Here is a 12,858-nt window from a genome sequence, read left to right as displayed (position 1 = left end):
TTTCTATTAAATGTGAAACATAAACGCTAGATTTATTAAGTTTATTTTTTTGTGCAGTTATATAAGAACAGAATTTGGGGATTAACCTCAGATTTTAACATTATATTTGCTAAAATGGACATAAGGAAGAATTGTGTCAAACATTTGGTTTCAACATCACCATCATTATTATCTTTATTAAAGGAATTTATGACACATATAACTGCATTTAAGTCATGACAAAGCATTCTAGAATGTGAGATAACAACTAGCGATCAGCCTTGCACTATGAAATCATGAGGTATAGGTTAGAAAACTCAGAATGCATAAGAGGCCTTATTCTACAATGTTTATTTAACTTCTGTTCTTTATAAAATGATTGTCTTGAGCTCTGGTTGGGGGCGGGGGAACAAAACAAAACAAACAACACTGCATACACTATTTCGGCACATAGTGAACTCTGGTAACTGTGAGCTACAAACAAACAAACTGACCTAGAATAGCCTTTCTCAAGCTTTTTAAAATCCAGGCCATCATTTCATAATTACATAAATCCTACCTCTCCTTTAATGGTATTTGAAATTCAAAGTAAATTCAACATTAGGCTTAAAAGTAAAACTGCACCCCCTCTCCACCCTTTCCCCACCATTTGTAGAGAAATACTTTTCTAGAACACCTTTTAGAGAATGAAAACAGCAAGCAGGGCCTTTTATTGAATGTGAAGAACAAAGATCAATAGAAGACAACAGAGAATGATAAAACAAGAAAATGTCATCTTACAATAAGATTTCAAAGATAATGTTTTAATACATTTTAGATTTGGGGCAAAAATGTAACAAGCATTAGAGAAGGGGTAAGGCTATTTGGACAGGCTGTAAGTCATTTGGAAATGTCACTTAACATTTCTGCACCCAAATTTCGTGATTGGTTAAAAAGAGGGCAAATGAAGCACATTACGTTACAGAGTTATGCAAAACAAATGAGAACATGCGAAAACTCTGAAATGTTGACTTCCATACAAATGCCTGATGTTATGTCTAAATTGTTTAATCTTCCTCTGGGAGAAAAAGCGATTTAGAATGCACAAGCATACATCTACTTTATTAGGATATTGTAAAAATTATGGGTAATTGCTTTAACTCTGCAGTCCTTACAAGAAGTTGATGTGCAGATACAAGAGAGTCTATTGTTGATAGATTCAGGCATGTTATAGTATAGAAAGTTGACTCTGTGAACAACAGACCATGTATCTTACAATATAGCCAACTAGGTCAGATTATATCTCAAAATAATTTAAGGGCTGTTTAGTATATAAGGGATGTTTATTGAACTTTCTATAATAGCAATGACAATGATTTGGCTATGTTTGGAAGGGAAATGTACTGTATTTCATTGTTTCCATAATACCTCCTTTTAAATCTGAAAGTTATATTAAATTTGATTGACAAAACACATTATATTGATAATTCTGAGAATCCAGGAAATGTAGTCATTTGGGGTTTACCTTTATTTCACATGGTTTTTTTTTCTTTTTCTTTCTTTCTTTCTTTTTTTTCGGATGAGAAGGTCAAGAAGTGACAGACATAAGCTTTCAAACCAAATATTATTAGGTTATCATACTAAACTTATTGTTTCTTTCCCCCTGCAAGATGCATTTATTTTAGAGTATCTCGATCTTGATCCCACACTGAGAAGGAAGGTTTTAAGCCCTCAAGACTTGTATGGGAGTTCTTCTGTATGGAACACTTCTCTTAGAAGAGAATTCATGAATTCAGGACATCCAGTACAGTTGTGAATTCATAACATTTTTCCAGTTGAAACTAGTCAAAGTGCTTTAGATCCATTTGTAAAAAATTTATACTGATGAATATGCTTTCAGGATGTATTTATAACTAATTTATGAAACTGTATCTTAGAGACCACTATACACATTTGGTTAAGATAAAAGGGAAGTGACCTTCTTTAGAGATCCTAATTATTGGGATCTGGGATCCTTTTATTGCTTTTCAGATGACAATAGATGTTACCAAAAGCACACTATTTGAGGGTCATCCTAATCAGAGTCTTTTCAAGGGAAGATGCATTGTTCTCTCTTGCAAATGATTGGAAAGGAAAACAGGCATAACAGTTATGGGGAAGAAAGGAGGAATAAATAGTCCTTTTGATTTCTGTGAAAGGGAGTCAGTGGGTGCTAGAGGAATGACAGCTGGTCTAGGGAGTCAAGAGAGCTGGCTTGTTAATCGTGGGCAAATTGTTTCATCTCCTTGATCCTCAGGAGTGTGTGTATGTGTGTGTGTGTGTGTGTGTGTATCTAACATGGGGATATTGGGCTACATTATTACTTGGTTCCTTTTCGTACCACAATTCTACTGTGGAGTAAAAGAAATATCAGACTAGCTTCATATTTTCTAAGTACCATTCCAGTCATATCAGCTTGGATTTTTTTTAGTAAGTAATAGGAGCAAAAATAAATAAATAAAAACAAAAATCTCACTGTTAGGTTAACCGCAGAACAGGTGTTTGAGTTTTTTCGAATGTAGACTAAGCTGAATGAATAGGATGTATTCTGAGCTGTTATTCTAACAACTTCTAAAGGGAAGGGATTCATTTAATGAAAAATAACTCTTCAGTCCTCAGTTGAATACATATGGTGAAAATTGGTAAGTAAACATTTTGATGTCTTGCTTTGTTATCGTGCAGTCTTGTCAGTAAACACTATTTTGACCTGTGCTGGGGAACTCATTTTATGCTTAAACACATGTAGTGTTTCACAAGTGCTACTGCATGCTTTGTCAAGTTTGTTTTAAACAGGATCACTGAAGCTTCCTGAAATTTTTTTCATTAAGCATGTGTTGAAATAGAACCCAATATATGAGTAAGAAAGATATAAGGAAAATACTGTGAACTAAGATACATATTTTCCCATTTTAAAAAAGTCAATATTAACCAATGGAAAATTATTTTTAATCACATTGGAATCACAAACAGTAGCCCCCCTACCTTCCAACAAATCAGAAATGGTGTTCTTCCTTGTTGTTAATTTTCAGGGTTTGGATGAGCCTTTAGTACTAACATTGCAGCTATTGCTAGGGAAAGTAAGAAGTATACCTAGATTCACTTCACATTTTTACAATGAACCTGTGGTGATGTGCTCATGTGCAGGGAACAGAGTGTAACATCCTTCTTTATGTGTGTGTATGTGTTTTTATTGATACAGTTTAAAATGATTACAGGGTGTCATTCAGTGACAAAAGGGCCTGTTCCAGGAAATCTCCTTGACCCAAAAGTCATTCTGAATTCTTCAAGAGACATTTGATGTGGACATAAGGTACCTTTCGGTTCTCCTGCCTTTAAAGAAACTTAACTTTAGGCAAAGGATCTTCCAGACCAATGTAGCCACTGCAGGTCAGAAGACAGTGCTACTTTCTAGTATGGAAATCAGTATTCTTATCTGAGGAGAAGGTTGTTGGAGTGGTTGTGTTCAATATTGAAGGAAGCAGAGCTTTTTTTTTGTAATAAATGGGAATATGTACTTCTGAAAAGTAAATTAAGATTAGGACTGTGATATGAGTTTTATTTCTGGCTTGGTTTTGTTTCCATAGCAGTCCCAATTTCTCACAGTATCTTCTTCATGAAAGCATGCTAATACATATCAGACCATATGGCCCCATTTGAGGTTTAGAAAATATGGTCATCTTATTTATGGATAAATAAATTAATCCCAGGGCATAAGTTGGTTGCTTAAAAACATGGCACATATTTAATGAGCGGTGGCTCTAAGTGAGATTCAAGCATCCCCCTTTCAGGCCTGTGGGATGGGAATAAATGTATAAGGCAAATAATGTGCTGAATATAAAGTCATGCTGTCATCTTGAAAAGCATATTCCCAGATTCACTGGAGGTAGTGTTGCTGACTTAAGGTTCAGCTTTTGGTCCATTTGTTGTCATTGGTGTCTTGGAAGGAGATTTTGCATCCAGGGTGCCAGGAGCTAAATGATTTTGTTAGTTGATCCACAAATAGTCCATTCTTTCTTCCTACCTGTAAGCAATCTGTTTTGTAGGTTATCTGTAGTTGGTTTCTCACCTGAGGCTGGCTTTACTCAGGCTCAGAAGCCTATTGTCTTGTGTTAAACAACCAGTCCAGAAAAGGTAAAATTATAAAAAGATAAAACAATCCATGACAAAGAAACAACAAAAACACTAGAACTAGAAAGCCAAGCAAAACCTAAGTGGGAAGCCAAATCTGTTGTTCAAAGTGTTACATATGCTAGAACTAATTATGCAGGATTTTGGGGTAACATTGGTCCTGCCTCTTCACCATTAGCAGAAATAACCAAGAAGTGACTGTTGTGATAGAGGACATAAAGCAGAAATAACCTGCCCCATGAATATATAGGTTAACATTTTCTGTGAAAATGATAGAAATGCCAACCTACCTTAGCAGTGGTTTTAATAGTAACTATTAGAAATGACTAATAAATATGGAAGATATGCTGGTGTTTTTCCCAGTAATCAGTATTATGTGGGAATGTACTTGGATTGTTTCTCATGATTCTGTACACCAAGGGCTATTTCAAAGTCAAAGAGCATGAAGGCATTTTTATCCACAGCTACTTAAGCTATTGGCTGTTGAGGGGCCAGTTACCTCTTAAATCAGTCAAAGCAGTTAAATAAGTAGTCCCTGTGGATATCAGCAAAAGCTGTGCCAGTGCTAAGTCTAAGAATTATATTTGTTTCAAAATAATTATATGAATATATAATATATTCATATGTTCACATATATTATGTATTTTATATTCTGCCCACAAATATAAGCAAAATGAATGATCTGAGGTATTGAAAGAGACTTTTCAAAGTGAAGTAAAAGTGTATAATTCCCATTAGCAGGCAAATGCATGTGTTTTGGAGAAATGGTGAGGCTGGAGGATTAAAAAACCTTTCTTTACACTTTAGGTTGGATTTTTGTGCCCCATAACGACAATAATACTAGTCCTAAGCTCTGAGACATTCCATAAGGGTATATAGAGAGTTTCATTCCCAGAAGAAAGGGTTAATTTTAATACTGTATGGAACATTGCAAAATGCTGATTTTATTTTTTTAATGCACATTATTCTCATTATATAAAGGATGCATATAGCATGGAAACTGGACTATATGACCTGTAGAACAACTGTGTGCTCTTTAGAAATAGAATTACTAGAAGCCATTATCTTTCTGTATTTTTTTGTGATAGCTTTTGTTTGATGTGAATTACTTAATTCTCTCAGGTTCAATTACAGCATTAAAAGTTTCAGGTTATTGTTGTTTTTGGTGAATGTTCCAATATCTTTCTTAGGCTCTGAGGACACACACACAACCATTCAGTAGTTGGAAAATACTATATCTCTTGGAGATTAAGGCGATATTACCTGAACTCTCTCTATGATAGCAGCCACATTAGTTAACATGGAGGATGCATGTTTTTCTATTTATAAACTTAATGCATTTGTACCTGAATAGAATGATGATTTCCCTAAAGAACACTAATGGTGTTGATAGCACCTGAGTGAGCCTTTTTTCCTCCTGTCAATTGGTAGGGATATGATCCAAATGAGCCTTTCATTTGCTATCAGGCAGAGAAGGAAATAATTAATGAAGCTCCCACTCGACTGAAATCTATCAAGAGGTGATGGAATCTCTAGGGAATGCATTAGGATTTTTTTTTTCTTTTTTTTTTATTTACCTGCCATTCCTAGTTGGTGTCATTATGGCATGACTGTTGGGGAAAGATATTAATTTTAGGATGATTTACCTAATACTAAAATGACTTGATAAAAAACAATTCGAAATTATAAGCATTGCACTATCTTATTAGTTTTAGGAATATCTCCAGTTAAAAATTTTAAGAAATTAATATGAGATTTGGAGATTGCAATAGTTATTTGGAGAGAGACATATCCAAAGAATAATGATTCAGTTATTCAGATTTATTAAGAAATCTGAGTTTTATAAGCTTTGCAAGAGATTCACAAAGTCTCTCAACTTTCAAAAATTTTGCTGCAACCCCATCAGATTTCAGAAAGAAATTCAAGAATTCCTCTTGAGAGGAAAATGGTACCTCTTTTTCTTCTTTTGTGTGTGTCTTTTTCACATTCATGATTAAATTGGTGGATTTTATATAATCATTATCTTCCAGCAAATTAAGTGAAAGACTTGGCTACAGATTGATTAGAGGATGACAAAATTGTCTGATAGTCTTTCTTTGCAACATTTGCTGTTGATCAGTTTAGAAGCTGATTTCAGTACATGTGAATTACAACACAGAGAAATGGCTATGTACTATATTAGAATCTAAATGACAAAGCAAGAATATTAGGAATAGGATTTACTTTTGAGTTCCTAGAAGTGTTATTAGAGCTCTTGACCCGTGTCCTCCAGATCTGATCTAGCCAATGAGAATTTAGGAAACTCCTTTTTTTTTCCCTAGAGTAACGACAAGATATAACAGGATCAGTGCCAACTGGGAGATAGGAACAGGAGCAGGGAGGAGGGCAAGGGACAAGGAGTTATGCCTAAATGAAGTCACTAATTTGATGGTGAAAATAGCTAGGTCAGTCTAAAAACTGCTTCATTTTGTCATGCTAACTATTAATTTTTGTTGACCCAAAGAATCCAGGAAAGTGAATTGATCTCTTAGAGTAGGCATATATGTGTATATGTCCGAATATTCCCTTTGCTCTTCGTCTTCGAGGGCACTCACATATGAAACCATAAAACTGCTGCTGGGAGTTAAAACTGTATGTCTCATTAAGGATAAGATTCACCTTTCCCTTCAGAGTAAGGGACTCATGTCTTTAGGAGATTACTCCTTGGACGTTTACGTTTCAAAGGGGGAGAATTCTCCCCCTTAGTCTAATATAGAATGTCAGCATAGCAGTGCATTCAAGCTAAGACAGAAGTAAGCAACCAGTAGGAGCCCTGGGAATGAATGTCACTAACACAGAGCTGAATGATGTGTTTATGTTGGTTATTGCTGGTGTGCAATTCTTAGAGGAATGGAGAAATCATAAAATTTGTGCAATCTAATTAGAACTCTGCCATCATATGCTCCTTGCTGATTTAGCTGCTGCTGCTGCTGCTGCCACTGCTTCTTCTCATCTATACGGAAAAGAGGTGTCATTTCACTACTAGAATCCACATACTTCACAGGTTTCAAGGCAGTGTGAGAAACAGTGGAGAAAGAAAGGGTTAGATTCGATAGATAAGGATGAAGCAACATACAGTATTTTAAGGTGTGAATCATCTTGTGACACAAGACTATTTTTACTCAAGGGACTAAGCAGAATCTTTGGATGGGAGAAGCTCTGTTCAGGAATTACCATTTCCTTTTTGTATGTCTATAGTATCACTATTAGAGATCAGTCTAGTCTAGCAAGGGGATAAATTCTTCTGTCATTGCTAAAACAAGCTGAAAATTACATGCTGAAACATTTTTTTCCTTATTTCGTTTAAGAAAAATTGTAGTTGTTTTATAAGCTTCGCAAGAGAGATTCAAAAAGTCTCTCAACTGTCAAAATTTTGCTGCAACCCTGTCAGATTCAGAAAGAAATTCAAGGTAGGAGAGCCTAATAGAACTTCAGACCAAATATAAACTTATTCAAAGTAAGGTATCCAGGGATCTCCTTCCAGTCTCTTCCCCCATTCCCCCATGTAAGTTTTTCTTTTCTTTTTTTTTAACTGCAGATCTAGACATGTAAAATGTTTGGTTTTCTCACTTTCCCTCCAGCCTATCTCATCCCATTCACCTTTGCATCAACAAAAGCCCAGATCAGGAAGGCTTTTGCAGTCCCTGTTTGCAGATTTCTCAGGGAGAGTTTTTATGTGTGATTTGGGTAGACATCTTCCCATTTTATAAATCAGGTCATGCCAGTGCATATCCAGAAAGCTTCTACAACCACCTGCAATGTGAGTCTGTTATGTTCTGTTGTTATGTTAGCTATTTTCTGCCTATTACTGAACAGCTGGGATTTTAGAAACAGCTGGATGATTAGTTGTGTTTTTTCCGTTTTTCACCCAGATGCTTTATTACTGTGTAGAAACAACCCCAATGTGGAACAACCTGGGAGTATAATAGCGAAAATCTGCTCTGATGCAACTGTTGTTATTAGGAATTGAATCAAGAAAATTACAGGCAAACAGTTTTGACTATTGTCTGCTTTACAAACATGTTTGATACAGCATTCTCATTTCCATTTCTAGGCAAAATGATTTGATTTAGCAACTTTAAAATGCCTCTTCCATTATTCCTTAGGCTATCGAAGCTGTGCTTTGGCTGTTATGTTTATTTGCTTAAGGGAAAATGTCTATACACAATGAGGCATCACCTGAGTTTTCCATTCACTGCTGGCAAGAGGAGCTGACAGAGGCAGGCAAGTGACAGTCTTCACACTCGCCACAGTCTATTTTTAGGTTGTTGACTTTGTGGCTGACTTCAGCCCTGATGGGATGGATTGACATTCGAAGACAATGAAATGTTTTATTATGAAGATTTGCAGATCTATAAAACTGGATGGTATTGTGAAAGTGATAAATTTAATTCAGGTGCTGTTAGTTGGTTCCTTACCCAGGGCTAAAATTAGAATAAAAAAGATGGGTAGACGCTTTTTCCTTTTCTAATTATTCTTTCAACAGATGTTTGTTAAGCTTATCCTAGCTGGCTAGGCTGTGTCATGTACCCAATCTCTAGATGTACTAAAATTTCAGAGAATCACAGTTCATGTAAGGATTTTTTTTTTTTTTTTTAGACGGAGTCTCGCTCTGTCACCCAGGCTGGAGTGCAGTGGCGGGATCTCGGCTCACTGCAAGCTCCGCCTCCCGGGTTCACGCCATTCTCCTGCCTCAGCCTCCCAAGTAGCTGGGACTACAGGCGCCCGCCACTACGCCCGGCTAATTTTTTGTATTTTTAGTAGAGACGGGGTTTCACCGTTTTAGCCGGGATGGTCTCGATCTCCTGACCTCGTGATCCGCCCGCCTCGGCCTCCCAAAGTGCTGGGATTACAGGCGTGAGCCACCGCGCCCGGCCCATGTAAGGATTTTTTGAGATATATATTCATTTTTCTAAATAGCAGGATTCTTGTTTATTATTGTGATTCCTTTTTCCCCCTTTAGAATCTATATGTGTGGGTAGGTCTAGTTTCTCCTTGGGGAGTGAATTGCCAGGCATCATGCTTTAATAATACTTCCTTTTTATAAGTTCTATCTTGTTTCTGTTATGTACTTCATTTTCTGTAATAGCTTCTGTATAAACTGCAGAGTAAATGGGCCTGAATCCAACTTGCCAATTTTTTATGATTCTTGCATGAGCAAAAACAATACTCAGTGTTTTCAAATAGCAGAGGTGATTATATGAACCATATTTACTCCTTTTCATTCCTGTAATGTATTTCTTCTATTCAATAACATGTGATTAAACTATAACTCAAAGAAAGAAGCAGATTTAACTGAAATATTAAACGTTTGTAAAGCAATAAACAATTTTTTTAATTTCAAAGTAATTTGCTATGACCATGGTTCTTCTTTCCACACAAAAACATTTTTTTTTCTTTTAATAATAACCATCTGTATCTTTCTATTTGGGAAAGATATGAGTGCCATTGATGGTTCCTTTACAAATTCTGGCTTGAATAAAAACCTGAGTTTATTTCTTGGAAGCATGTGGAAAGGTTTGTTCTTTTTGTGGATATTCCTACTACCTAGGCAAATCAGATGGAATTGCATTCATTACATGGCTAAGTCAGGACAGTTGAGGCCAACTTTAGGGATTTTTCCGAGGTGCCATCTATCTGCATCGATTGATTTCAAGAGGTGTTTGCTCAGGTTTCCGTTTGCTTTCAAGATAATGTCTGAACATTAAGTTAAAGTTAAGGCTTTACCATTTGAAATGCAGTTGTAATAACATTTTTAGCTCTCTCCAACTAGCTTTAATTTCTTAAGAACAACTTGAACTTCTATGAAATGTATTTTAAAAACCACCTTGTTTGTTTTCTGAGTGTTTCAGGACTTATATTAGAGTCCCTGGCCTTTAGTCTTCATTCAAGCCAAACAACCATTATCTTTAATTGAAGCTGCTTCTACTGGAAGCCAAAACAATTGGTGGAGTCAGTGAAGAAAGAAAAAAAAAAAAAAGCCAAGATGATTGTCTGGCATTGTGAAGCCATTGATTCAATTCTGCTTCATTAAAGCCATTAGAAGCAGACAGATCCTGGATTCTCTTTAACTTTGGGCATTTTTAAATTGCTATCTATTCTGTCAAGGAAATACCTTTAATTGTAAAACCATTATCTTGTGGGATATTTAGTTTTACTTCGGCAAACTGCAACTATTTCTTCTGCTTTAGAAATATGACATTCTGTATTAAAAATGCAAATGAAACCATGATTTTTCTATCTTAAAATGAATAACTTTTTTCCTTCACAATTTTTCACGAAATGTATTTGCAAACTTGAAAATGTATGTTAGCCTAAATCAGCTGACACATAGTTACTATTTGAAGATTTTTAGACAAATAACTGAGTTGCTCATTATTACTATATGAAGAAGGAAATGACTTACAATTTTTTTACACACTGGAAAGTGAAAATGGAAGGCCATATATTTATTTACATTTTCTGAAAGAGACCAAAGGCCATATATTTATTTAGATTTTCTAATGGATCCTAGAATGTTCTGTGTGATTAACTCATAAGTTCTTCAGTGGATGTCAAATACACTTGAAATATGTCAGTCAAAAGGTACAAAGGCTCAGATAGGAGGAATGAGTTTGACTTTTTTTGAGATTAATTCCACAGAATGGTGAATATAGCTAATATTTGAGTACTGTACATTTCAGTAACGTTAAGAGAATAAATTTCAAATGTTCTTATTACAAAAATGTTAAATATTCTAGGTAATGGACAGGTTAATTAGCTTGATTTAATCATTGTATTAAAAAATCTTAACATTACTTTATATTCCATAAATATATGCAACTATAATTTGTCAGTATATAATAAAAATTAGTATTTTCTACATCTAACTAGAAATGTAATTTAGAAATGTGATATTACACTGTATAGATCACATTTCTGATATTTAAAATACATTTATATTATGTAATATTAACCTATTAAATGCCTGTTTTTTGTTTTTTAGCATACTAAATAACCTAACAGGCTATGTGTGAATGTTGTGAAAATAATTTGACAGTTTTAAGTCTATATCCCTAAAGATCAGTTCTATTTTCAGAAGAAAATACCTTTTTATGTTCCTATTTGAATAATAAAAGTTAAATATCTTTAACCTTGATTTTAGATCTTAATCTTATAATTTGGCTTTAAGTTTTTCTTTTTCTGTAGTCAAATGGATGGTTCACATGGCACTAAATGATTATTAATTACTTCTATTAGAAGTATTAACATTTACATTAAAAATAGGAATAATTTGTACAGATTGACCCCTGAGATATTAACACATAAGACAAAATTCCTCTTTTCACTGGCTATTTAGAGCAATTTTTCAGTAATCATGTTTTTTTGTTTTTTAAGTTTCAAGCACATTATTTCACTATTTATTACAGCCTGGTCATACTATTTATCAAAACCTGACTGCTGTGGAGAAGTAAACCTGTTGCTCTCCATAGAATAGTATTAAAAGCATTTTACAGTAAAACTTTTACCAGAAAGATGGTTCCATTGCAAGTATTCAAGGAAAGTATTAGAGACAACCCCAGGGTATATAATGGAAAGTACAGACATCTTAAGTGATTCAATTTCATAAAAAAGTCTAGGTTCTTAGCAAGCTGAATGATTCCATAGCTCTGTCTTTTAAACCATGCTAGTTGCCAGCTGTTAATTAGTAGTGTATGGTCAAATAAAAAATTGGGGATGAAGTACATCAGTATAGAGGTTTTGCTGTTAAAAAAAAGAATTTTTTATTTTAATTTTTGCTATTCATCCAATCAAGTCCTAATTATAGGTAATTCTTGGTATTCTAACTAACAGATAACAAGTACAAGAAGTTCAAAGCTGGATTAATCATGAATAAGGAAAATTTGCCTTTTATGTATTTGTGCCAGAGGCTGTACAACAAACCTATTATCTTATAATTTTTATCATTAGCCTGCTAATATCAGCACATTTTAATAATTTGTTAATTTTCAGGGATGCCTAGGAGGTAAATGCAGCTAGCTAAGAGTTAGCTGATGGACAGACATGGTCATAGAAGTTTCCCATCATCCATGACTACTAGTTTTATGAACATGATTGTGCTTAAAGCTTTTGTCATATTTCTGTTATTTGTCAGATTCTCAGAGAAGAAAGGTATAGACAGTTGCAATTTTTTTTCCTGTTCTGTTTTCGAAATGGAGATCATGTAGCAATGGAGTGTGTGGAAGAAGCAGTTGTCTGTTTTTGTAGTCTTGGCCACGTATGTTGTTTGTAAAATTCAAGACATTCATTCTTTGGTGGATAAAGTGCTTAATGAATGCTTCTTATCTCTGTGAAGTATTTTAAAAGAGACTCATATACAACCAAAAAAAAAGAGTCTTGAATTGTATTCACGCTAGTGGAAAATAAGCTTCATCCTTAGCCAGGCTTAGGCTACTTAAGGACATTGGAGACTCAAGGGGATGGGATGTGCTCCACGCATTCCAGCAATTTGTAAGATGCTCTGGGAGTATTCCAATTGTGCCTTTATATTGATGAAGCTGACCAAATTATTTACCATGGCTTTTGTGGAGGCTGTGCAATTGTTTATCCATATTTTAAAAAGTGCTAATTGAAATATGTTTATCTCATGATATTGATATAAAGTAATATAATATGTAGTAATATAGTGATCACATGTAGCCATGACAGCATGGG

Source organism: Homo sapiens, chromosome 11, assembly GCF_000001405.40.
Source record: "Homo sapiens chromosome 11, GRCh38.p14 Primary Assembly".
Lineage (NCBI taxonomy): Eukaryota > Metazoa > Chordata > Mammalia > Primates > Hominidae > Homo > Homo sapiens.
The sequence above is the reverse complement of the archived record's forward strand: the minus strand, read 5'-3'. Positions refer to the sequence as shown.